This window comes from Homo sapiens, chromosome 7, assembly GCF_000001405.40.
Source record: "Homo sapiens chromosome 7, GRCh38.p14 Primary Assembly".
NCBI classification, from domain to species: domain Eukaryota; kingdom Metazoa; phylum Chordata; class Mammalia; order Primates; family Hominidae; genus Homo; species Homo sapiens.
The window spans coordinates 73,675,876-73,699,089 of NC_000007.14; the positions used below are offsets into that span (position 1 = coordinate 73,675,876).

The window sequence follows — 23,214 nt, forward strand, 5'->3', positions numbered from 1 at the left end:
CGGTGCAAGTGTGTAGATAAAAGGCGTTTTACACTTCACCCCTGTTGGTGGAAGTGCAGCAAATTGGGGAGTGATGTCTCATCTAAATGGACGAAATTTTTTTTGTTGTCTTTTTTTTTTTTGAGACAGGGTCTTGGTCTGTCACCTAGGCTGGAGTGCAGTTATGTGATCATAGCTTACTTGAAATCTCAACCTCCCAGGCTCAAGCCATCCTCCCACCTCAGCTTCCCAAGTAGCTGGGACTACAGGTGCGTGCCACCATGCCTGGCTAATTTTTGTATTTTTTGTAGAGATGGGGTTTTGCCATGCTGCCCAGGCTGGTCCCGAACTCCTGGGCTCAAGGGATCCGCCTACCTTGGCCTCCCAAAGTGCTGGGATTACAGGCGTGCATTACCGCACCTGGCCTCAAAGGGGAAATGCTACTGAGCTTCTCCCACAGCGCTAATGCAGGTACGTGAACTGAATGGTGGCAGATTTTCTTTCTTTTTTTTTTTTTTCAAATGGAGTTTCACTCTTGTTGCCCAGGCTGGAGTGCAAAGGTGCTATCTCGGCTCACTGTAACCTCTCCCTCCCGGCTTCAAGTGATTCTCCTGCCTCAGCCTCCTGAGTAGCTGGGATTACCGGCGTGCACCACCACGTCGGCTGATTTTTTTGTATTTTTAGTAGAGATGGGGTTTCTCCATGTTGGTCAGGCTAGCCTTGAACTCCTGATCTCAGATGATCCACCCGCCTCGGCCTCCCAAAGTGCTGGGATTACAGGCATGAGCCACTACACCTGGCAGATTTTCTCATTTTTTGAGAGATTAGAAATCTGTTTTTATGGGGGCGGTGGCTCATGCCTATAATCTCAGCAGTTTCAGAGGCTGAGGAGGGTGGATCACTTGAGGTCAGGAGTTTGAGACCAGCCTGGCCAACACGGTGAAACCCTGTCTCTACTAAAAATACAAAAATTAACCAGGCGTAGTGGCATGTGCCTGTAATCCCAGCTACTTGGGAGGCTGAGGCAGGAGAATCACTTGAACCTAGGAGGTGGAGGTTGCAGTGAGCTGAGATTGCACCACTGCACTCCAGCCTGGGGGGACAGAGCAAGACTCTGCCTCAAAAAAAAAATCGGTTTTTATGCCCAAATTTTGAATGTTGGGTAAAGTTGTTTTAGGACACTGTGCCAGCCAAATACTATCTGCAAGGTGACTGTGGCCTATGAACCCCAAATCCCAGTCTGCTCTTTGTACTCCTCAAACAGGCCTTCCCTGCCATTTTTTTTTTTTTCTGAGATGGAGTCTCACTCTGTCACCCAGGCTGGAGTGCAGCGTCATGATCTTGGCTCACTGCAACCTCCGCCTCCTGGGTTCAAGCTATCCTCCCACCTTGGCCTCCTGAGTAGCTAGGATTACAGGTGTGCGCCACCATGCCTTTTTTTTTTTTTTTTTTTTTGAGATGGAGTCTCGCTCTGTCACCAGGCTGGACTGCAGTGGCACAATCTCGGCTCACTGCAACCTCTGTCTCCCGGGTTCAAACGATTCTCCTGCCTCAGCCTCCCGAGTAGCTGGGACTACAGACGCACGCCACCACGCCCAGCTAATTTTTTGTATTTTCAGTAGAGATGGGGTTTCACCATGTTGGCCAGGATGGTCTTGATCTCTTGACCTCGTGATCCGCCCACCTCGGCCTCCCAAAGTGCTGGGATTACAGGCGTGAGCCACCGCGCCCAGCCAATGTTTTTTTTTTTTTTTGAGATGGAGTCTTACTCTGTCGCCCAGGCTGGAGTGCAGTGGTGCGATCTTGGCTCACTACAACCTCCGCCTCCCAGGTTCAAGCGATTCTCCTGCCTCAGCTCCTGAGTAGTTGGGATTACAGGCACCCACCATCATGCCCGGCTAATTTTTATATTTTTGTAGAGACGGGGTTTCACCATGTTGGCCAGACTGGTCTTGAACTCCTGACCTCAAGTGATCCGCCCACCTCAGCCTCCCGAAGTGCAGAGATTACAGGTGGGAGCCACCACGCCCGGCCATTTTTTTGTGTGTGTGTTTATAGTAGAGACAGGGTTTCACTATGTTGGCCAAGCTGGTCTTGAACTTCTGACCTCAAGTGATCTGCCTGCCTCGGCCTCCGAAAGTGCTGGGATTACAGGCAAGAGCCACCGTGCCAGGCCCTGAAACATGCCTTCTTTTGTCTAAAGTGGCTGTCCCCTCTCAGGGCTGAGGATGTGAATTTTGAAGGGACAAGGGTAGGATGGGAGAGCCAACCCACCACAAGACTAGTGACAGGACCCTAGCCTTAAGAGACACTGGTGAGGTGGCTAGATCCATAGCGACGCTGTGACTTCAGGACAGATAGTGAGAGATGAGCTCTCTGCATGCGTTGAGCATGTTTGGCCTACGCAAGGTCTTGAGATCCAGGCTCAGCTCTCACCATGGTTTGCACACATTAACAGAGGGACACTCAGCTGCTTTGCACAAAACCACGACGGCTGCAAGCTGGACCTCGGAGCTGAGCTGCTGAGGGCAGGCTAAGGTAGGTCTTCTCCCATGATGTTGTTTTTCTTTTTTTTGAGACGGAGTTTCACTCTTGTTGCCCAGGCTGGAGTGCAATAGCGCGATCTCGGCTCACTGCAACCTCTGCTTCCCAGGTTCAAGTGATTCTCCTGCCTCAGCCTCCCGAGTAGCTGGGATTACAGGCATGCACCACCACACCCAGGTAATTTTGTATTTTTTAAAAGTAGAGACGGGGTTTCTCCATGTTCGTCAGGCTGGTCTCGAACTCCTGACCTCAGGTGATCCGCCCGCCTTGGCCTCCCAAAGTGCTGGGATTACAGAGGTGAGCCACCGTACCCGGCCTGTTTTTCTTTTTAGAGATGAGGTCTTGCGTGTTGCCCAGCTGGAGTGCAGTAGCTATTCATAGGCGAGATCTTTGTACACTAGTCTTGGACTCCTGGGCTCAAGCGATCCTCCTGCCTCAGCCTCCCAAGTAACTGGGACCACAGGTGTGTGCCATTGTGCTGGGCTTTCCCTCATGATCTTCCCCATGGGCAGGTGGCAGCATGTGACTTCATCATGGCGCTGAGGAACTGAGAGGAGGCAAAGGCCAGGACAGGGCCCGCTTTTCTAGTGCACTGAATTCCAGAGTGTGGACTGAGGTAGCACCACCACTTATCAGCCGTCCCTCTCTCAGCCTGTTTGCACAGGGTCTGGCGACCTTCCAGGAAGCCCAACAGTTTGAAACACAGACCTCTTCCATTTCCAAAAAAGGGTGTGTTGGTGGCCACTCCAAGTCAATCGTGACCCAGTAGGACAGCTCTGTGGCCTAAGGTAAGCTATTCCTAATCAATTTGGCTCATACAGAGGTGCACTCAATGAATGAAATGCCGGAACCTCAGAAGGAAGAGGGAGAAAGCCTACTTCCTCAACACTGGGATCTGTAAAGGGTCATCTCACCCAGCAATAAATAAAGGGCAACAGAAGGGAAAAAGCAGTTTGGCTCAGGAGAAATAAAGTCCCATTCAAGCCCAAAGACACCACCACAATTACCTAGACCTGTGCGCCTTTGGTTCCTGTCTTGTGGCCTCTGTCTCCCCATTTAGGAACCACGCCTGTGGCTCACTCGGCCTCGTGCTATACCAGTAACCCCCTCCCCACCCCACTGAGCACAGCCTGGGCCAGGCTGGGCCCCTTTACCCTATTCTCCCATCCTAGGTCCAAACTTCTAGGGAGTTTTGTTTCAGTTTGTGAAAAAGAAAAAGGATTAAGGCTGGGCATGTCTGAGCCATCCTCCACAACCAGGAATTATGGAATAGCCCCTAGAAGGCAGGGGCTAAGGTCATGGCCGAGTTCAGCCTCCACTTGCCAGGTAGCAGCAGAGAAAGAAAAGACTCAAGCCAATCTGAGTGGGTGGGGGGAAAATGTGACCATGGGAACCTTTTGGGGGTCCTTCAAAAAGCCTCCCACACATTTTCCTTTCCATGAAGAGCACAGGCTCAGTTTCAGGGCAGGCAGGGAGTGGGGTCCCTCAGGCATTAGCTCTGGCCTACAAAACCCTGAGGCATAAAGGGATGACATTACGGAGTAGGCCTTGTGCTGAGTCAGGGGAGAGGCTTAGGATTGGATGATGGTTAGTAAACCTTATAGAATACTTTGCTTAGAGTTTCATGGAATGTCCCAGAAGTTTACCTTAGTCTGGACCCACCCCCAGTCTGAACCTTCTGGAATTTTCTATGTACCCCAGATTCGGGGGCTCACAGGGAACGTTCCTGGCTGGGATCTTGACTGAGAAAACAAACTTCAGAGGTCTATCTCAAGGAGCCCATGCTATTAGACCACTAGTGCTTTACAAACCCACATCGAAAGGAGGCCACCTGTTTCACTAGAACAAAAAGCCCTTGCCCCACTGTTTCTGTCGTGCCTGCTTTACTGGTTGAGAAGCACTAGTTTCAGAACATTTTGCTAAACTCCACTTCGTGCAGTTTGTTTTTCCAGAAAAAAGAAACTCCACTTGCTGCAGTTTTGTTTTTCCAGAAAAAAGTCTCTGTCCTGTTTTCTAAATATGAAACATAGTAACAATAAATGTTCTTTTAAAAAGTACATATCCCCTTCCCCCAAGTCCAGGCTCACTGAGCCAAACAGGTCTGAACCAGATTGGGCTCAAATCTTTTTTTTCTTTTTCTTTTTTTTTTTTTTTGAGATAGGGTCTAGCTTTGTAGCCCAGGCTGGAATGCAGTGGCAGGATCGCAGCTCACTGCAACCACGACCTCTCAGGCTCAAGCGATTCTCCCACCTTAGCCTCCTGAGTAGCTGGGACTACAGGCACTTGCCACACCCGGCTAATTTTTGTGATTTTTGTAGAGATGGGGTTTTGCCGTGTTGCCCAGGCTGGTCTCCAACTCCTGAGGTCAAGTGATCCACCCGCCTTGGGTGGATCCCAAAGTGTTGTGCCAGGCCCCAGATCTTCATTACTGCATCATATGATCACTGCAAAGCCTGGAGTAGGGGCATACCCCCAACCTCCGAGGCAAGAGACAATCAATGGTTTCCCTTTTTTTTTTTCCTTTTCAGGCTAGATTGGCACAATGATGGAATGGTTTTCAAGAGGCCAAGTAGGACCAGCTGTGGGTTTATCCCATTTTACCTAAGGATTTTACACAATACATTGAGTGCAGGAATGGCACGCAATGATTGCACTCAGTAATATACCAAACCACTCCTGGCTTTGTTTAGACCCTAGACTTGGGCCCTCATCCTTCTCGTAGACCTCTTGCGAGGATTTTCCCCTTTTACAGATTCACACTCAGTCCCGAACAGAAACACTTGAGCACCTACAATCTCACAGCCAACTCCCTGCCAACGTCCAGTGACTCACAGTTAAGAGAGCTTCAGCAGCAGCTCTGACCAAAGTGATGACCAACTACTTAACATGAATTAGAAACAGAGCAGAAAAAACACGCCTTTAGCCTGCTCTGCGTAAAGAACCAAGTCTCCACCATGAACACCAAGCCACCAACTCCCCGTCCCTCAGTAGTCCTGTGTACTCCCAAAGCCCCAAAATTTACCCCAGCCTCAAGCAGCCTTGTTTAAAAAATTAAGGAAGGGCCTGTGATAAGCACTGCAAGTTAAACAGAAACAGGGGACTTAAGTGCAGAGTTTGTCACTCTATTTCTGGGAGGGGATGGGCTGCACAGTGTGCAATGGGGCTGGCTGGTAAAGGGAGGACCAGGTGACAGCCAGCCACACTGTCTCAAGGATGAACCTGGCCCTGCTAGCATTATGCTGTAATCCCTGTGGATTAGAACTATGGATAATAGGGCCGGGAGCAGTGGCTCATGCCTGCAATCCCAGCACTTTGGGAGGCTGGACGGGCAGACAGCCTGAGGTCGGCAGTTCGAGACCTCAGTCTGGCCAGCATGGTGAAACCCCGTATCTACTAAAAATACAAAACACTAGCCAGGTGTGGTGGGAGCCTGTAATCCCAGTTACACAGGAGGCTGAGGCAGGAGAATCGCTTGAACCCGGGAGGTGGAGGTTGCAGTGAGCTAAGATCGCACCACTGCACTCCAGCCTGGGCAACAGAGCGCAAGACTCCATCTCAAAAACAAAACAAAACAAAAAACCCCCCAAAAACTATGGATAATAAAGCATGACAGACCTCAAGATGCCAAATGATTTTCTCCTCTGCTGTCATGCCTACAGAGTAACTTCTCCAAGGTCACACATTAAATATGGGCACAGGAACACTCATTCCTTATGCTCAATGACTTTTTCTCACTCCTACATGCTATCAACATAAGGAGGAGTGCCCCAGGGGGCTGACCTTAGCGGGAGGAACGACAGGCTCTCCACCGATCCCATTCTTACCCTGGACCAGGTCTCACCTGCGGCTTGGGGAAGTCACAGAAAGACAAGTTTCGTACAACCCCAGACCTTTTCTTTTGGTAGTCAACAATTGGTCACATTGCACATTTCAAGGTTACAGAGGCCCACCATACACATGCGGGGCAGGAGGAGATAAATCTTGCTTGGGGCTAAACAATAAAGCTACAGCGAGTGTTCCAGAAGTTGACCACATCTGGAAGCAAGAAGACAGACTCTGGAAGAAGCACCCTAGAGACTCCAGGAACCCCCTTCACTCCTGGGCTTTCGGGACTCTACAGCGTGGGGCCTCTTTCTCAGACATCGAAAGGCCTCCTTTTCTGGACCACAGTGGAGCGATGTGCAGGTCATCGGCTAAGCTGGGCGGGTCGGGGAGGGCAGGGGGAGTACAGTTCCTTCGGATCCCAGCAAAGGTAGACTATCAATGGCCAAGGGTTCAGAGGCAGGAAAAAAGGCCGTTTCTGGGGGGTTGGCTGGGGACACTCCCCTTCCCTTCTCTCTCCGATTAAATATAAAAGCCGATGATGATGAAGATTGAAAAGATGAGGAAAATGGCAGCCGTGTCTCGGGTATCCTCCCAGCGGAGGCCTTTCATGGACCGATACTCCTGCCGTTTGCGAAGGGCCTCCCGCCGGGCCCTCAGGCGCCGTTCCCGCTCCAGTTGTTCCCCGTAGTGGGCCTGGTAGAAGGCGTCAAAGTTGAACATCGTGCGGTTGGCGCCGGGGGAGGCCCGAGAACCGTCGTGGGTCCGAGAGGTGGGCGGCGGGGTACGCGGCGAGCCGGGGTCGGGTGCGGGCGTCCTGGAGGGCCGGACGCCAGGTCCGCGCAGGTCCTCGTCGCTGAGTAGGCCGCGATCATACTTGCGACGGAGGGTGGCACTGCCCAGCACCACGTAGGCCTGGGAGATGCGCGTGAAGCGCTCGGCGGCCTCCGCGCTCCCGGAGTTGCGGTCCGGGTGGTAGAGAAAGCACTGACGGTAGTAAGCCGCCTTGATTTGGGCCTGCGTGGCTGTGGAGGGGACGCCGAGCAGATCATACAGCGCCGTGCGCGAATACGAGCAGTCGCCCTGGGAATAAGTCCTCGCTCCTAGGCCCAGGCTGGGTGCAGAATTTTGTGGAAAGCCACGGGCCTGCAGCAACCTCCAAGGTAACAGCCGCTGCCACCATCGCCAGCGCATGGCTGCCATGTTGAATTGATTCGGCAGGCGGTGCAAGAGAAACCGGCCAATGAGAGGAGTCGGTTGGTCGCCCTGTGGCCAGTCACGTAAAGGGGGGGGCGGGGCGGTCGTGGGGGTGGAACATGCGTATTACTAAGCGGTCGCCGGGCTGATGACATAAAAACCGGGTGCCGGCAGGCGCCAGTCGCAGGTGTGCTGCTGAGGCGTGAGAATGGCGTCCCGCGGCCGGCGTCCGGAGCATGGCGGACCCCCAGAGCTGGTAAGTCCCGGGGCCCGCGGACACCCCTCTCCCCACTTCTGCGGCCACCGCGTCTGAATTATTCCTCTACATGCCATTTTCTCTTTTTCGCAGTTTTATGACGAGACAGAAGCCCGGAAATACGTTCGCAAGTGAGGGGAGCCTGAATACTGCGGGGCGTCCGGGGGTCGGGAAGCGGCAAGTTGCCCCTGTTGCTGGCGTTGCCCGGAAAGGCCGTAGAATTTGGGGGTGCGGGAAGGGAAGGACCCGGGTGGGTGCCGATTTCTGTCTCTGGTAAATCAACTTTAAGTTGCCGACCTCTCTGGGCCTCGGTACCTCAGCGTTGAGGTAGGGGTGATCGCGCTTGCTTTCCGTGGGTGGTTTTCAAAGTCGAATGTGACAATTTGTCCTAAACATGTGGTAAAAGAGGCGCTGGGCGGTGGGTACGGGCGAGGGGTCAGTCCTGGTGGGGGGAAGGAAGTAATGGCCGTAGGATGCTTATCGTGGCGCCTTGTTGCCAATAAATCTCCAAGACAGCAGTTGGTGTATTATTGTCTGAATTTCATAGAGGGTAGTTTGTATAACTACTGAGTTGTAGCCAGGTGGGAGTGGCTCACGCGTGTAATCTCAGCAATCGCAGCACTTTGGGAGGCTGAGGCGGGAGGATCGCTTGAGCTCAGGGGTTCGAGACCAGCCTGGGCAACGTAGCGAGCCCCCGTCTCCGCAAGTAATAAAAAAATTAGCCGGGTGTGGTGGCTCCCCTCTGCCTCTCCAGTAGTTGGGACCACAGGCGCGCGCCACTACGCCTGGCTTTTTTTTGTAAATTTTTGTTGCGATGGGGTCTCGCTGTGTTGCCCAAGGTGGCCCAAGCCCAGGGCTCAAGCGATCCTCCCGCCTTCGTCTCCCGAACTGTTGGGATTGCAGGCGTGAGCCAGCGCACCTCGAGTCGTTAAAAAAAAAAAAAAGGGGGGGGGATGGGGGCGGGGGGAAGCTGGCGCGGTGTCTCACGCCTGTAATCGCAACACTTTGGGAGGCTGAGGCAGACGGATCACCTGAGGTCAGGAGTTCGAGACCAGCCTGGCCAACATGGCGAAACTCCAGCTCTACTAAAAATGGAAAAAATTAGCCGGGCGCGATGGCGGGTTTCTGTAACCCCAGCTACTCGGGAGGCTGAGGCAGGAGAATAGCTTGAACCCGGGAGGGGGAGGTTGCAGTGAGCCGACATCACGGCACTGCACTCCAGCCTGGGCGACAGAGCAAGACTTTGTTTCAAAAAAAAAAAAAAAAAAAAAAAAAAAAAAAAAAAAGATACTTTGTGGTTTTTCCGTGCTCTCTCACTGAGAGACTAGCCCTATTTCAGTAAATGGTTACTGGCCGGGCGCTATGGCTCATACCAGTAATCCCAGCCCTGTGGGAGGCGGAGGTGGACGGATCACCTGAGGTCAGGAATTCCGAGACCAACCTGGCCAGCATGGTGAAATCCCGTCTCTACTGAAAATACAGATATTAGCCGGGCCTACGGGAGGCTGAGGCAGGAGAATCACTTGAACCTGAGAGGCAGAGGTTGCAGTGAGCTGCGATCGCACCACTGCACTCCAGCCTTGGCGACAGAGTGAGACCCTGACTCAATAAATAAATAAATAGCTATTGGATACTGTTTCTTTTTTTTAGGGACAGGGTCTCTCTATTGCCCAGGCTGGAGTGCCATGGCATGATCCCTGCCGACTGCAGCCTCAAGCCATCCTCCCCAGCAGCCGGAACTAGAGGCACTCGCCACCACACCGGCTGAAATAGCTTGATAATTTTTTGTGCGTGTGAGACAGGCTCTCATTCTATCGCCCAGGCCGAAGTGCTGCAGTGGCTGCAACCTCGCCTCCCGGGTAGTTGGAACTACAGGCGCGCCTCCTCGCGCCCGACTAGTTTGTGTAATTTTTTTGTGGAGAGGGAGTTTTGCTATGTTGCCCAGGGATCTGGTAAGTTGCTCACGGGATCCACCCGCCTTGGCCTCCCAAAGTACTGGGATTATAGGCGTGAGCCACCAGGCCCGGTCCTTGCTGATGACTTTTTATGTCGATTATATGTTGAAGTGATATTTTGAACATATTGAGTTAATGGAAATACGTTATTAAATATATGGGGTTAAAAATATGACTCCAGAGGCCGGGCGCGGTGGCTCACGCCTGTAATCCCAGCACTTTGGGAGGCCGAGGCTGGCGGATCACAAGGTCAGGAGATAGAGAAATCCTGGCTAACATGGTGAAACCCCGTCTCTACTGAAAATGCAAAAAAAAAAATTAGCCGGGCGTGGCGGCGGGCGCCTGTAGTCCCAGCTGCTGGGGAAGCTGAGGCAGGAGAATGGCATTAACCCGGGAGGCGGAGCTTGCAGTGAGCCGAGATCGCGCCACTGCACTCCAGCCTGGGCGACAACAGAGCAAGACTCCGTCTCAAAAAAAAAAAAAAATATGACTCCAGTTTCTTTTACCTGTTTCTTTAAGTTTCTTCTTGACTGGCTATTGGGAAGCCATGCGTGGCTCACATTCTGTTTCTCACAGACAGTGCTGCTGTAGGTTTTTGTGCATTGTTGATCCTTCTAGATGAGAGAAACTATGGAGAATAATTTTTGGAGAAAATGTTTTCAACAAGTGCTAGAGCAGCCCAGCCTAATAGAGTTGCAGATCCCAGTGGTTGTTTATTACTAGCTAAGTGATTTGCTTTTACACATCTGCTTGGCAGCTGGTGCAATGATAAGTTGTTACCACAAAATAACATGGTCCTGAATTACATGGAATTTTTGGGGTCACTTTCGAATGGTTGAATTTGTTGATCCCAACTTAGAAGGGGTCAGAAAAGAGTACCTCGGGATGATTGATCCGTTTTTTGTTTGTTTTTAACTTGGCTTTTTTTTGTTTTTTGTTTTTTGGTCTGGGGGAAGTATTCACCCAGAACTCCTTTACCATGTCCACTTGTGTTTCTGCCTTACCAGCTCACGGATGATTGATATCCAGACCAGGATGGCTGGGCGAGCATTGGAGCTTCTTTATCTGCCAGAGAATAAGCCCTGTTACCTGCTGGATATTGGGTGAGATTCTGGGGCCTGGTTCAGATTGTCTAAGGTGGTGAAGTGTCTTTGTAAACTGACCCTGAGTGTCTGGTCATGTCTTCCAGCTGTGGCACTGGGCTGAGTGGAAGTTATCTGTCAGATGAAGGGCACTATTGGGTGGGCCTGGATATCAGCCCTGCCATGCTGGGTAAGTATGTCCTGTCTGGCACCAGGGTGGATTACCCTGATGGGTGTGGAGAAGCCACAGGTATTTCTCTTTCTCTGACTGCCTTTTCTCTAATGTAGATGAGGCTGTGGACCGAGAGATAGAGGGAGACCTGCTGCTGGGGGATATGGGCCAGGGCATCCCATTCAAGCCAGGCACATTTGATGGTTGCATCAGGTGAGGGTCTTTAATTCCTGCTTTTATTTATTTAGAGACAGGGTCTCACTCTATCACTTAGGCTCTAGTGCAGTGTCTGTGATTATGGCTCACACTGCAGCCTCCACCTCCTGGGTTCAGGTGATCTGCCCACCTCAGTCTCCTGAGTAGCTGGGACTACAGGCCCACACCACCGTACCTAGCTAATTTTTTGTTTTTTTGAGATGGAGTCTTGCTCTGTCACCAGGCTGGAGTGCAGTGGTGTGATCTTGGCTCACTGCAGCCTTCGCCTCCCAGGCTCAAGCGATTCTCCTGCCTCAGCCTCCCAAGTAGCTGAGATTACAGGAGCACGCCACCACACCCAACTAATTTTTGTATTTTTAGTGGAGGTGAGGTTTCACTATGTTGGCCGGGATGGTTTCAATCTCTTGACCTTGTGATCCACCCTCCTCGGCCTCCCAAAGTGCTGGGATTACAGGTGTGAGCCACCGTGCACAGCCTAACTTTTTTTGTATTTGTTGTAGAGATGGGTTTTTGCTATGTTGCTCAGGCGATCCACACACCTGGGCCTCCCAAAATGCTGGGATTATAGGTGTGAGCCACCCTGGCCTCTTTCTTCCTGCTTTTAGTCCTGCAAGCCAGTGCCTCCCAAACCTGGCTGTGCAGCAGACTCATGCAGATATTTACAAATACACATCCCATGGGATTTTCAGATTTACAAGGTTAGAGCAAGGCCCAAGAGTGTATTTTTTTGGATTCTAAAACTTTGCAGTCTGGCCAACATGGTGAAACCCAGCCTCTACTAAAAAGCCAGACGTGGTTGTTGTTTTTTTTTTTTTGAGATGGAGGCTCTCTCTGTTGCCCAGGCTGGAGTGCAGTGGCGGGATCTCGGCTCACTGCAAGCTCCGCCTCCCGGGTTCAAGCCATTCACCTGCCTCAGCCTCCCAAGTACTTGGGACTGCAGGCGCCCACCACCACGCCCAGCTAATTTTTTTATATTTTTAGTAGAGACGGGGTTTCACCATGTTAGCCAGGATGGTCTCAATCTCCTGACCTCATGATCCGCCCTCTTCAGCCTCCCAAAGTGCTAGGATTACAGGCGTGAGCCACCGCGCCCAGCCTAAAAAGCTAGACATGGTGGTGGCCACCTGTAGTCCCAGCTAGCTACTCAGGAAGCTGAGGTAGGAGAATTGCTTGAACCCGAGAGGCGGAGGTTGCAGTGAGCCGAGTCCACGCCATTGCACTTCCAGCCTGGGTGACAGAGCAACACTTCATCTCAAAAATAAAACTTGTCTACTATTGCGATTATTTTGCATTGCCGGGTTCGGGCACCACTGGTACAGATTCTGTGTCAGCTTTGTGTGTCTGGTGGGGCAGAGGAGGTGGTCTTTTAGTCTCTAGCGGCCATTTTATGGGCCCCAGCCATCTTGTGGGCCCCAGCAGCCATCTTACTTTATTTGCCAACAGATAACTGGTAGAGAGCGTCTGGACTTGCTCTAATCTCTTAAGTGCTTCACAGTCCTTTCTCTGTAATCAGAGTCGGGTTAAACATCCACATAGCACTTCAATAACAGATCTTAGAATGTTAAAATTGATTAAGTTTTTCTTAGGCTGCTGTGATCAGTTCTGTTTAGTTTTTGGTGTGGTGTGGGAGTGAAAGTGAGAAAATAGGGGAGGAAGTTACAAATCATTACTTGCAGGGGAGACTTCCTTTGGTTACCCTAAGTTGAGTGGTGGGGATGTGAAGTGGGGAGCCAGGTGAGAGGTAAAAATTCAGATTAGAAGATTTTCCTTTTACATCTGGGAACAAGACCCAGGGGGGTTGGGGAATAATTTCAAGGGTAGCAGATGCTTTTTGGTAATGGTCAGATGAGGTGTTTTAAGCTGTGAAAAACCGAAGGCCAGCAGTATGGTCTGTATGTTTCGGAAGGGGATGGTCAGTTTTTGTTTGTCTTCGGGGAGAGGTGAGATGGTATAGCAAACTGTTTTTTTGGAGACGGATTCTTACTGTATTGTCCAGACTGGAGTGCAGTGGCACGATCTCGGCTCACTGCAACCTCTGCCTCCTGGGTTCAAGCGATTCTCCTGCCTTAGCCTCCTGAGTAGCTGGGATTACAGGTGCTCACCACCATGCTTGGCTAATTTTTGTATTTTAGTAGAGATGGGGTTTCACCATGTTGGCCAGGCTGGTCTTGAACTCCTGACTTCATGAACTGCCCGCCTCAACCTTCCAAAGTGTTGGGATTACAGGCGTGAGCCACCGCACCCGGCCCAGACTTTTTTTTTTTTTTTAAACATTTGCTACATGTAAGGCGTACAAGGTGCTGTGGAGTACAGGGAAATGAAACAGTTTCTGCGTGTAAGACTCTCCACGGTTTATTAGGTGCTTTAGGACATGGACCAGGCAACTGAATATAAGGGCATGAGTGGTGTGTGCCCTAGGGAGTCATGGGGCTGCCAGAGCACAGGAAAGCCTTGGGTGGAGGGGCTGCACCTTGAAGGCTGGGAGGAATTTGGATAGTCAAGGAGAGGGTTTCTGAGTGAGGGAACAGTGGGCAGAGGCACAGATGCCGGTGGGAAAGGGGTCTGAGATGAGAGGGATGAACGAGAGATTCCACGGAAGATGGGGTTGAGTGTGGTTGCTTCCTAGAAGGCACTTAAGTGTGTCCTAAGAAGTTTGGGCTTGATGGAGTAGATGATGGGGAGTTGGCAGGTGACGGGATCAGATGTGTGTTTAAGGAAGGTGATTTTCTGGTGAAAGAGGAGAGAGAGTTAGGTGGAAGCATTTGAGCTGGTAGCACTGAGCATTGGTGCGGGGAAGTGAAAGTTGGGAGAGGCTGTGGGACAAGCCAGTGGGGTGGAGGTAGGGCTCTGTGTGTGTACAGCAGGGCGGAGGGGAAGGGCAGGAAGGAAGACATAGTGACTGGTTGAGGTTTTATTTATTTATTTTTTGAGATGGAGTCTTGCTCTGTTGTCCAGGCTGGAGTACAGTGGCACAAGGCTTACTGCAACCTCTGCCTCCCAGGTTCAAGTGATTCTTCTGCCTCAGCCACCTGAGCAGCTGGTATTCAAGGCACATGCCACCAAGCCCAGCTAATTTTTGTATTTTTAGTAGAGACGGGGTTTCACCGTGTTGGTCAGGCTGGTCTCGAACTCCTGACCTCAAGTGATCCACCCATCTCAGCCTCCCAAAATGCTGGGATTACGGGTATGAGCCAATGCACCTGGCTGCTTGAGGTTTTAAATCTGGGGGTTGTAAAGACACTTAACAGGTAGAGTGGAAGGGAGTGATTTAGGAGGAAGGGTGATGGGATGGCTGTGTGTATGTGAGTAGTCTAAAGCCTGTTTCCTTGGATTGGAGGAAGGGAACAAGGAGGGGTGTGTGGGCAGACAGCCTTGACACGGAGGACTTTTCAACTCAAGATGCAGATGGAAACAAGGTGGAGGAAAGGTTTCTTGGGACTATGGGACATAAATGCTGTCCTTCTGTATGTCCTATTTTTCCAGTGTTGTAGAGTCATGACCTGCAGTGGACCTGCACTTTTTTTGTCTTTAAATTTTTAAATTTAAAAATACTTTAAGTAAAGATGGGGTCTTGCTATGTTGTCCAGGCTGGTTTGAAGTCCTGGCCTCAGGCAATTCTGTCTTGGCCTCAGAAAGTGCTGGGATTACAGGGCGTTGAACCACTGTACGTGGCCTCAACCTGCACTTTCTAAGAAGGGAAGCTGTGGGAGGAGGGGTTTCTCTTGGAGAGCCAGGACGGATGATGTCAAGAGGCTTGAAGTGGTTGGGGGAGCAACGTGGATTGCTCCGTTGCCTGACTAGGTCCCTTCCTTTTTAGCATTTCTGCTGTGCAGTGGCTCTGTAATGCTAACAAGAAGTCTGAAAACCCTGCCAAGCGCCTGTACTGCTTTTTTGCTTCTCTTTTTTCTGTTCTCGTGAGTATAAGATCTTCTCCCCATCTGGGTTAGCTGCCTGTCCCTCCCTAGCACTGCAGGTAGAGTGAGGAAATTGAGGTGTCCCATGATGGGTAAGCTACTCATATGGGACCGCATGGGGTGGCAGGACCTTACTGTGGTTACTTCTGTCCAGGTCCTCAGCCTAAATGGAAGTTCAAGCTCAGTGGACTGATATACTCTAATCAAACCCAGAAGTCACTGATACCAAAATCGGAGACCAATTTATTAACTTGTAATAGGGCCTACTTCTGTTGATTGGTATTCCTATGTCTATTGCGCTGAGTTTTAATCAGAAGTTGGTTTGGGGGCATGGACTGAGCAGAGTGAGGACAGAGATGTCGTGTCCGGACCATCCAGAGGGGTACCTTCCAAAGTGCCCACATCCTTCTGACTCCTCACTTATCCCTCCTCCTAGTGCTGATCCTTTTCTTCGGATGAGGAACAGGATAGTTATTTACTGCAAAGAGAGCCTTTATTAGCTTTGTCTTCAAATTAATGATGTTAATTTCAGTTGTTCACTAGGATTAGCTGATAGTCTGAGATTTTAAGTCCTAAAAATGAGTTCTTTTTAAATTTTGTTTTTTGAGACAGACTTTTGCTTTGTTGCCTGGGATGGAGTGCAATGGTGTGATCGTAGCTCACTGCGCCCTCGAACTCCTGGGCTCAAGTGATCCTCCTGCTTCAGCTTCTCAAGTAGTTTGGACTACAGGCACACACCACCATGCCAGGCTAATTTTTTACTTTTTTTTTTTTAAGAGATGGGGTCTACCTATGTTGCCCAGGCTGGTGTTAAACTCCTGGCTTCAAGCAATTGTCTGGCATCAGGCTCCCAAAGTGATGGGATTATAGGCGTAAGCCACTGTGCCCAGCTTAAAAATGAGTCCGTTTTGAAGGATCTGAGTGGTTTTTGCCTCCTTAGCCTGGTCTAGCCCACCCCTAGTTTTCCTGGGGTGGACTGCACCTGCCGATCTGGCCACTGGTCTTTCTTGGGGTGAACTGCCCCTGCTGATGTGGCCGCTGGTCTTTCCTGGGGTGAACTGCCCCTGCTGATGTGGCCGCTGGCCTTTCCTGGGGTGGACTGCGCCTGCCTATCTGGCCGCTGGTCTTGTGTGTCACATGAGTTCTCCTCCTGGCACACTGGGTTAATATTTTAGTTCTGAGGTCCTTTGTGTTTCCTCTTCTCCCTGCTGGAAGGCTCCTCCCTTATATGTTTAAATAGCCAGCTCCTCACTCCATTCAAATCTCTGCTCAAGTATCCATTTGAAACAGGCCTTTTTGGAACCAAAAGTAAACTGAACTGAAAGGAAACTCTGTCACTTTGTCTAATTCCTCTTTTTGTAACAAAGAAAAAATTTGCTACTGTGAATTAGTTGCCTCCTTTACTAAAATGTGAGCTCCAAAGTTCAGGGTGATCTCTTTTGTTCATACTATCCCCAGCCCTAACAATGCCTCACACATAATGGAAATTCAGGAAATACTTGGTGAATGAAGGAAGAGAGGGGTGTCCAGGCCCTAAGCTCATGCAGTCATTTGTAAGACAGTGATGTTCCTGTTTCTTTCAGGTCCGGGGATCCCGAGCTGTCCTGCAGCTGTACCCTGAGAACTCAGAGCAGGTGAGTCCCTCGGCTACTGGGTGTGCCGGGGAGTTGGGGGACTCAACAGGTAAGCTGTCCTGGGGAAGCGACAAAGAATCTTATGCAGATTGGCGGGAAAAGGAGGAAACATGCACCCTAGTGTGGCCCCTGATGGCACATTTGATGACCTGATATCCTAAGGGGGTGGCATCTGCGGAGGTGGGGTGGGATGCCTTCTCTTGGCAGATGACATGGTATTACAGATAAGGTGATGCGACTGATTTCCATAACCAAATAAGTAAATGCCATTTAGGAAGGGTGAGAGGGCACCGACAGTTCTCCGTTGTGTGATGTATAAATTAAGGAATGGCGGAGTAGGATGTAGATGTTGAAAGATAAGTGAAGAGCTGTTCCTGACTAATAACATGAATGACTCTGGATTCCAATTGGTGGCCATCTCCCTAAACTTGAGTGGGGAGCTGGGTCCCTGCACTGGAAAGTGAGAATGAGGGGAGTTGCTTTGTTCTGTAATTCTCCTGAGGGAGGTGTGGGCCATGCCAGATTCTAGCCTGTACTTTTCTCTACGTGGCTTACAGCGACCTTAAGTTCTCCCAGGCAGGATTTGTCCTGGAGCAGACTGGCTTCTGAAGGAGGGGAGGGAGGTGAAGCTGTCTGCTCCTCTCAACCTCCGCTGCCTGACCCGCTGCCTTTCTTTCCTCAGTTGGAGCTGATCACAACCCAGGCCACAAAGGCAGGCTTCTCCGGTGGCATGGTGGTAGACTACCCTAACAGTGCCAAAGCAAAGAAGTGAGCGCTGGGGGCCGGTGTGCTGCCTGGGCTGCAGGAGGGAGGGTAGTGGCATAGCCCTTTCAGGCCACTCAGTGGTGCAGAGGAGTGCTGGGGTGTGGGTCACCAGGGTCCAGGCAGGCGGAGGGGGTGCGGGTGGGGGAGCTGAGGGCTTGTCTCCCTGTGGGGCTTTCTCCACCCAACCCTCACTTTGCACTTTCTCCTTTCAGATTCTACCTCTGCTTGTTTTCTGGGCCTTCGACCTTTATACCAGAGGTGAGGGACACTGGGTTTGCAGGCAGGCCTGTGTCTTTTGACTTCCAGGCAGTGGGGCTCAGCCTGCAGAGCCTGCTGGGAGAACACTGGTGGGGAAGCAGGGCCCAGCCCCAGAGTGCAGACCCTGGAGTGCTCACATCCTCTGGAATCTGGAGGCAGAGACCTCTGCTCTGCAGGTCCCAGAAAGGCGTGTCAGTTCCTTCTCGTGGGACTGGACCTCGTCCCTGTCGGAAGGGTCAGGCCTGGGTGCCTGGGCTTCTGGAGTGGGGCAGATGGTTTGAGAACTCTCCAGGGTGACCTGAGTGCACTTTGGTTCCTGCAGGGGCTGAGTGAAAATCAGGATGAAGTTGAACCCAGGGAGTCTGTGTTCACCAATGAGAGGTAAAGCAACTGCTGAAGCCTGCCCCGGCTGCAGCGGGGGCTGCCACATTTGTTAGACATGGACTTTCTCTCTGCCCTCACCCAAGCCTCTCAGGTCACATGCAGCAGGGACACCAAGGTGACGGTAGAAACATCAGGTCCCATTTGGACTGTGCCTGTTTGGGGCTAGGGGTTTGGGGTCCTGGATGTCTGGGTGCAGCCATGCAGCCTGGACTCCCTTTGTGAGCCCACACATGCCCCTTCCCCTTGCCACGCCTGGCAGGCTGTCTCCTTCTTTTCTGATGCTGCCCTCCACCTGCATCTGGGACCCTCTCCCTTGGGTGCTGTGGCTCTCCCTTCCTTCCTGCATCCTCATCTTGACTCTCCTGGGTCACTGCTGTCGGCACACAGACATGCTGCACAATTTCTCCTTTTCTAGAAAAGTTCCTTCCTTAACCCCATAACAACAACTAACCACCCCGTTGTTGCTTCCCTTCATAGCAGAACTCAGACCTGCCTCTTCTTCCCCTCCCACCATTCTCTCAATCCACTTCTCAGGCTGACAATTCTGTCTCATCACAAATTGTTCTTGTCAACTCCACCACCAATTTCCATCAAGCCACATCTGGTCACTTGTGACTTTTTTTCATGTCCTTAATGTGCCTGCTCGGTAGGGTCAAAGACAGCAGTGCGCTCCCTCCTTGACGCTTCCTTCACTTGGCCTTCCACCCACCATCGTGGTTTCCTCAGCCTTCCTGGCTGCTCCTCACTCCACTGCTGCTTCCTCTTCGAGTGCTGGGCCCAGCCTGGATTGGATCCCTTCTCTACCTGTGGTGCTGTAAATGCCAGCCGGAAGGTCCTAATTCCCAAATGTGTATCTTCAGTCTCTTGCCACCTGGGGTTTCCCAATGCCCCCTCAGTGTCTATACCTGGAGTTTCCATGGGTAGTCTCTCTCTGTTACCCAGGCTAGAGTGCAGTGGTGGAATCTTAGCTCACTGCAGCCTCGAACTCCTGGGCTCAAATGATCCTCCTGCCTCAGCCTCCCAAGTAGCTGAGACTACAGGTGCATGCCACCATGCCTGGTTAATTTTTAAAGTTTTTGGTAGAGATGAGGTCTTGCCATGTTGTTCAGGCTGATCTTGAACTCCTGGCCTCAAGCAATCCCCCTGTCTCGGCCTCCCAAAGTTCTGGGATGACTGATGTGAGCCACCATGCCTGGCCATCCTCCATTCTTTTTTTTTTTTGAGATGGAGTCTCACTCTTTCCCCCCAGGCTGGAGTGCGGTGGCTTGATCTCGGCTCACTGCAACCTCTGCCTCCCAGGTTCCAGCGATTCTCTTGCGTCAGCCTCCCGAGTAGCTGGGATTGCAGGCGCCCGCCCAACTAATTTTTTGTGTTTTTAGTAGAGACAGGGTTTCACCATGTTGGCCAGGCTGTTCTCAAACTCCTGACCTCGTGATTCGCCCGCCTCGGCCTCCCAAAGTGCTGGGATTACAGGTGTGAGCCACTGCGCCTGGCCTCATCCTCCATTCTTTACCATTCTTGATCATTCCTGTCTTTCCCTACATTTCACATCTTGTCAGCCTGTCATTGAGCCCTGCTGTCCGTCCCTCAGTGTGTATCCCCGTGCTGACCCTCCCTGCTTCCAACGAGCCTAATCCAGCACTGCCCCTAGCCTGGATTGCTGAACAGCTGCCTGTGTTGTCTCCTTGCCTTTGCAGTCTTTGCCTCTTTCAGATTATTTTCTGCATAGCAGCAAGACTGGTCTTTTTCTTTTTTTCTAAAATGTAAGTTGTATCTTGTCATTGCTCTTTTAGTGCCTTCATTGCAGTTGTGCTCCCCGCTCATGTTGATTTTCCTTAACACCCTTCACTGCTCTAAGTCATACACATACCAGTTGACTTGGTTATTATTTGTATCTCCAGCTAGAGTGAAAACTTGGTGAGGACTGGTATTATATCCCTGACATTAAAAATAGTGTCTTGTTAGTAAAAAGTGCTCAGTATTTTTCTGAATGAATAATTGATTATAAGGTAGTGAAGAGGGAGGTTATATCTGAGGTCCAGTTGACATGAGGGAAAGGTCTTAAGACCTTTAAGACATTTAAGAGGAAAAATGAGCCCAAAATGCATGTGTTTGGAAGGCCCACAGCTGGGCACAGCCATGCATGTTCCTCACGTCCACCATAGGTTTATGCTGCCTGACCCCTTGGGTCTTTGCTCATTTCCCTTAGTTTCCCTAGTCCATTCCCCATGGGGAGCTGGGACCCTTCTGGATGACCTCTTCTCTGAGGCGCCCATCTCGTGCTCCCAGGGAGCACTCCCATCTCCTCCCTCCCAGGGGAAGTACACATTGCCTTATCTCCATGTGTCTTAGGATCCTTCTTGTCCTTACACTGGTGTCTTCAAACGACATGTCCTAAAAGTAAATGTGGGTAAGTTGAATGACCTGAGCATCCATTCCTCAGCTATTCAAAAAGTAGGGGTAGTGCCACCTATCTTGGCAGTGTGTTGAGGGTGCCCAGCACGTACCTTGCCATCCCTCGTTCTGTAGGCTCTCACTTCCAGTTCCTCAGATGAGGTACAGGGCAGGGAGGAGCTTCTCCCGTTACTGTCATCTCAGTCTAACCACATTCAGGACACTTGTTTATTTTAAATAAACAGGTGAATTAAGAAAAAGTTTTTTAAGTCTTTACCTAATCAGTCTCCAGGCTCTCTTTTTGGCCTGTTCCTCCCTTCCTCCTGGCCGCCTCCCTCCCATGCCTCTCATGTGCCTCCTGCAGGGCTGGGCCCCCACTTCTCTTGGGACCTGTGCTTTGGGGCACTCCCCGTCTTCACCTCCTTCCTTTAGCTCCATTGATGACTTTCCCCCTTGCTGCTTCTCCCATGGCTCACCTCTTGCCCCCTGGTTCGCCACTCTGCCCTCACTTTGTACTCTTTGTAGAATCTTGAGATGACTCCTCCTGTGTCCCCAGCCCTGCTCTGCAGCTGCTCCTGCTTTGTGCTGGCTCATCAGGCTCAGGCATCCGAATGGCAGCTCCTTGGCTTGCCCTGTCTCTGGTTTCTACGGATGGTCACAGGGGTCTTCGGGGTTACCCCGCCCTCTTTCCTTCTTCCCTCATACCCCTCAGTCCTTCCTTTTCAGACCCTCCTTTCCATCCCTGTCTTCCTGCCCCCAAGCTGTGGGACCCTAAGCTCCTGCTGTGAACTGTCGACTGTGCTCTTGAAGTCTAGGTGATGATGTGTCATTGCATTGGTAGAAAGCGGCCTGCTTACTGCTGCTTAGCTGCTTCCCGAAGAGGGAACAGACTGCTCGCTGGTGTTTAGGTCTCCATGCCCGGCCCAGCTCTCTCCTCCTCTGCCCACCCAACAACCTCTGTGGCCCGGATGGATGTTATCAGGAAGGAGGGTGTCCAGAGCGGGGAATTGTGTTATAGGGAAGGTGGAGCATTTGAGAGAAGGGGCATCCGAGGCCACCAGACTCGGAGGTAAGCTTGCCATGGATTCACATGGGGGCCAGTCGGGCAGCCCCATCCATCAGCTGTCCATCAGCTCATAGCTGTGTCTCCGCCACAGGTTCCCATTAAGGATGTCGAGGCGGGGAATGGTGAGGAAGAGTCGGGCATGGGTGCTGGAGAAGAAGGAGCGGCACAGGCGCCAGGGCAGGTGAGTGCCAGCCTGGGAGCTGGCAGGGTGGGTGGGGGGTGGATGACTATTGCCATGAAGAGCTTCCCTTTATTTGAAGGGTCCAGGGCTGCTTTGATCTTTTTTTTCTGAGACTGTCCTATTCCTTTTCTGCACAGGGAAGTCAGACCTGACACCCAGTACACCGGCCGCAAGCGCAAGCCCCGCTTCTAAGTCACCACGCGGTTCTGGAAAGGCACTTGCCTCTGCACTTTTCTATATTGTTCAGCTGACAAAGTAGTATTTTAGAAAAGTTCTAAAGTTATAAAAATGTTTTCTGCAGTAAAAAAAAAGTTCTCTGGGCCGGGCGTGGTGGCTCACACCTGTAATCCCAGCACCTTGGGAGGCTGAGGTGGGAGGATCATTTGAGGCCAGGAGTTTGAGACCTGCCTGGGCAACATAATGAAACTTCCTTTCCAGGGAGGAAAAAAAAAAAAAAAAAAAGCTCTGAGAGCATCTTATTTTGTTTAAAGGCAAGAAATAAAATTTCCTTTTGTGGAGCTCTGGCATCTCCCAGCTCTGTGATTCTCACCAAACTCCAGTTCCTCCTGGTGGGCTACTGCTCGACTCCCCAGGCAGGAATCAGATTTAAAACACTTAGATGAAAGCATTCTTTCCATTTGCAAGGAACACAGAGTCCTTTAATTTAGGGCTTATATATAACTGTATCATAATCACACCAAGCAAAGTTGGGAAGAGGGCCCACATGAAATGTGTTCGTGGTGCCTGCTGGCCAGTCCGTTTTCCCTTCCTGTGAAGGCCTTGCCAGTCCAGCGGCCCCAGCTTGAACTGTGGCACTGAGCTGCACGGTCAGCTGCCTACCAGCCCAGTGCTTGGATGTCTTGGGCTGATCTCTTGTCCCGTCACTAGTGGTTGGAAAGGGAAGGTCCTGCTCTGGGGTAGTGTGGGACTGTCCAGCTGGCTGTGATAGGAGAGGAGGTGTAATGGTTGCTTGAGCCTTTTGGTCCATGTGGGAAGAGGGGCAAGATCCTGGGCATTGCAGTACAGAGCTGGATTAGGTGTTCAGCAGCTTAAGACATTAGGGAATGGGTGCCGGGGCCCGAGGGGCTGGGTGTCTGGGAGTGGGGTGAGGCTTGGGGCCTGAGGATCTAAGCCCTGCAGTGGGGTTTCCTGCAGGTGTCAGATTCCAGGCCTTGAGAGTGGCCTCTGGGCCTGTTCTCAGGGAATAAGGCCTGGATGTTTTCCACTGCACGGCCAGAGACAGGTCTGAGGAAGTTGAAGGCCCAGGGTGGGGTTGAGGCTGAGTTGGGATCCTCGCCTCTGAGCCCTTCCTCTTAGTGCCACATTCATTCATCCTCAGGTTCTAAGACTGTGACACTGCAGATGGCAAGAAGTCTAGAGCAGCCAGGCCAGGCA

At 51.3% G+C, this 23,214-nt stretch overlaps 2 protein-coding genes across 8 annotated transcripts, besides 5 other annotated features; one reads left to right on the forward strand and one right to left on the reverse strand.

Annotated features, from left to right (window-relative positions):
• Positions 1-5,042: 5,042 nt before the first annotated feature.
• On the reverse strand, positions 5,043-7,578 carry DNAJC30 (DnaJ heat shock protein family (Hsp40) member C30). The gene has a single exon (NM_032317.3). The coding sequence runs from the start codon at positions 7,546-7,548 to the stop codon at positions 6,868-6,870; it is 681 nt and encodes a 226-aa protein (NP_115693.2). The 5' UTR covers positions 7,549-7,578; the 3' UTR covers positions 5,043-6,867.
• Positions 7,000-7,089: an enhancer, noted in NCBI's record as "active region_26126". NCBI's record gives its function as "activates an Ori minimal core promoter by ATAC-STARR-seq in GM12878 lymphoblastoid cells {active_cell/tissue: GM12878}" and the evidence as "EXISTENCE:reporter gene assay evidence [ECO:0000049][PMID:35858748]".
• Positions 7,330-7,499: an enhancer, noted in NCBI's record as "active region_26127". NCBI's record gives its function as "activates an Ori minimal core promoter by ATAC-STARR-seq in GM12878 lymphoblastoid cells {active_cell/tissue: GM12878}" and the evidence as "EXISTENCE:reporter gene assay evidence [ECO:0000049][PMID:35858748]".
• On the forward strand, positions 7,722-22,337 carry BUD23 (BUD23 rRNA methyltransferase and ribosome maturation factor). Of its 7 annotated transcripts, NM_001202560.3 has the most exons (13): positions 7,722-7,798; positions 7,892-7,929; positions 10,761-10,856; positions 10,943-11,025; positions 11,124-11,220; positions 15,041-15,137; positions 16,721-16,771; positions 17,454-17,539; positions 17,749-17,794; positions 18,117-18,175; positions 21,591-21,641; positions 21,730-21,819; positions 21,957-22,337. In NM_001202560.3, the coding sequence occupies exons 1-13, from the start codon at positions 7,751-7,753 to the stop codon at positions 22,009-22,011; spliced, it is 897 nt and encodes a 298-aa protein (NP_001189489.1). In that variant the 5' UTR covers positions 7,722-7,750; the 3' UTR covers positions 22,012-22,337. The 7 variants fall into 7 exon arrangements, 5 of the variants coding, with proteins under 5 accessions (NP_001189489.1, XP_006715910.1, NP_059998.2 ...); NR_037776.3 differs by lacking the exon at positions 21,591-21,641 and having other exon boundaries at positions 7,892-8,125; XM_006715847.2 differs by lacking the exon at positions 21,591-21,641 and having other exon boundaries at positions 7,892-8,026.
• Positions 8,430-9,279: an enhancer, noted in NCBI's record as "NANOG-H3K27ac-H3K4me1 hESC enhancer chr7:73098635-73099484 (GRCh37/hg19 assembly coordinates)". NCBI's record gives its function as "activates a minimal SCP1, AML or CMV promoter by ChIP-STARR-seq in primed H9 embryonic stem cells {active_cell/tissue: H9 hESC(primed)}" and the evidence as "EXISTENCE:reporter gene assay evidence [ECO:0000049][PMID:30033119]".
• Positions 9,280-10,129: an enhancer, noted in NCBI's record as "H3K4me1 hESC enhancer chr7:73099485-73100334 (GRCh37/hg19 assembly coordinates)". NCBI's record gives its function as "activates a minimal SCP1, AML or CMV promoter by ChIP-STARR-seq in primed H9 embryonic stem cells {active_cell/tissue: H9 hESC(primed)}" and the evidence as "EXISTENCE:reporter gene assay evidence [ECO:0000049][PMID:30033119]".
• Positions 14,102-14,271: a silencer, noted in NCBI's record as "fragment chr7:73104307-73104476 (GRCh37/hg19 assembly coordinates)". NCBI's record gives its function as "represses an EF-1alpha promoter that drives an FKBP-Casp9 reporter gene in an ReSE screen in HepG2 liver carcinoma cells {active_cell/tissue: HepG2}" and the evidence as "EXISTENCE:reporter gene assay evidence [ECO:0000049][PMID:32094911]".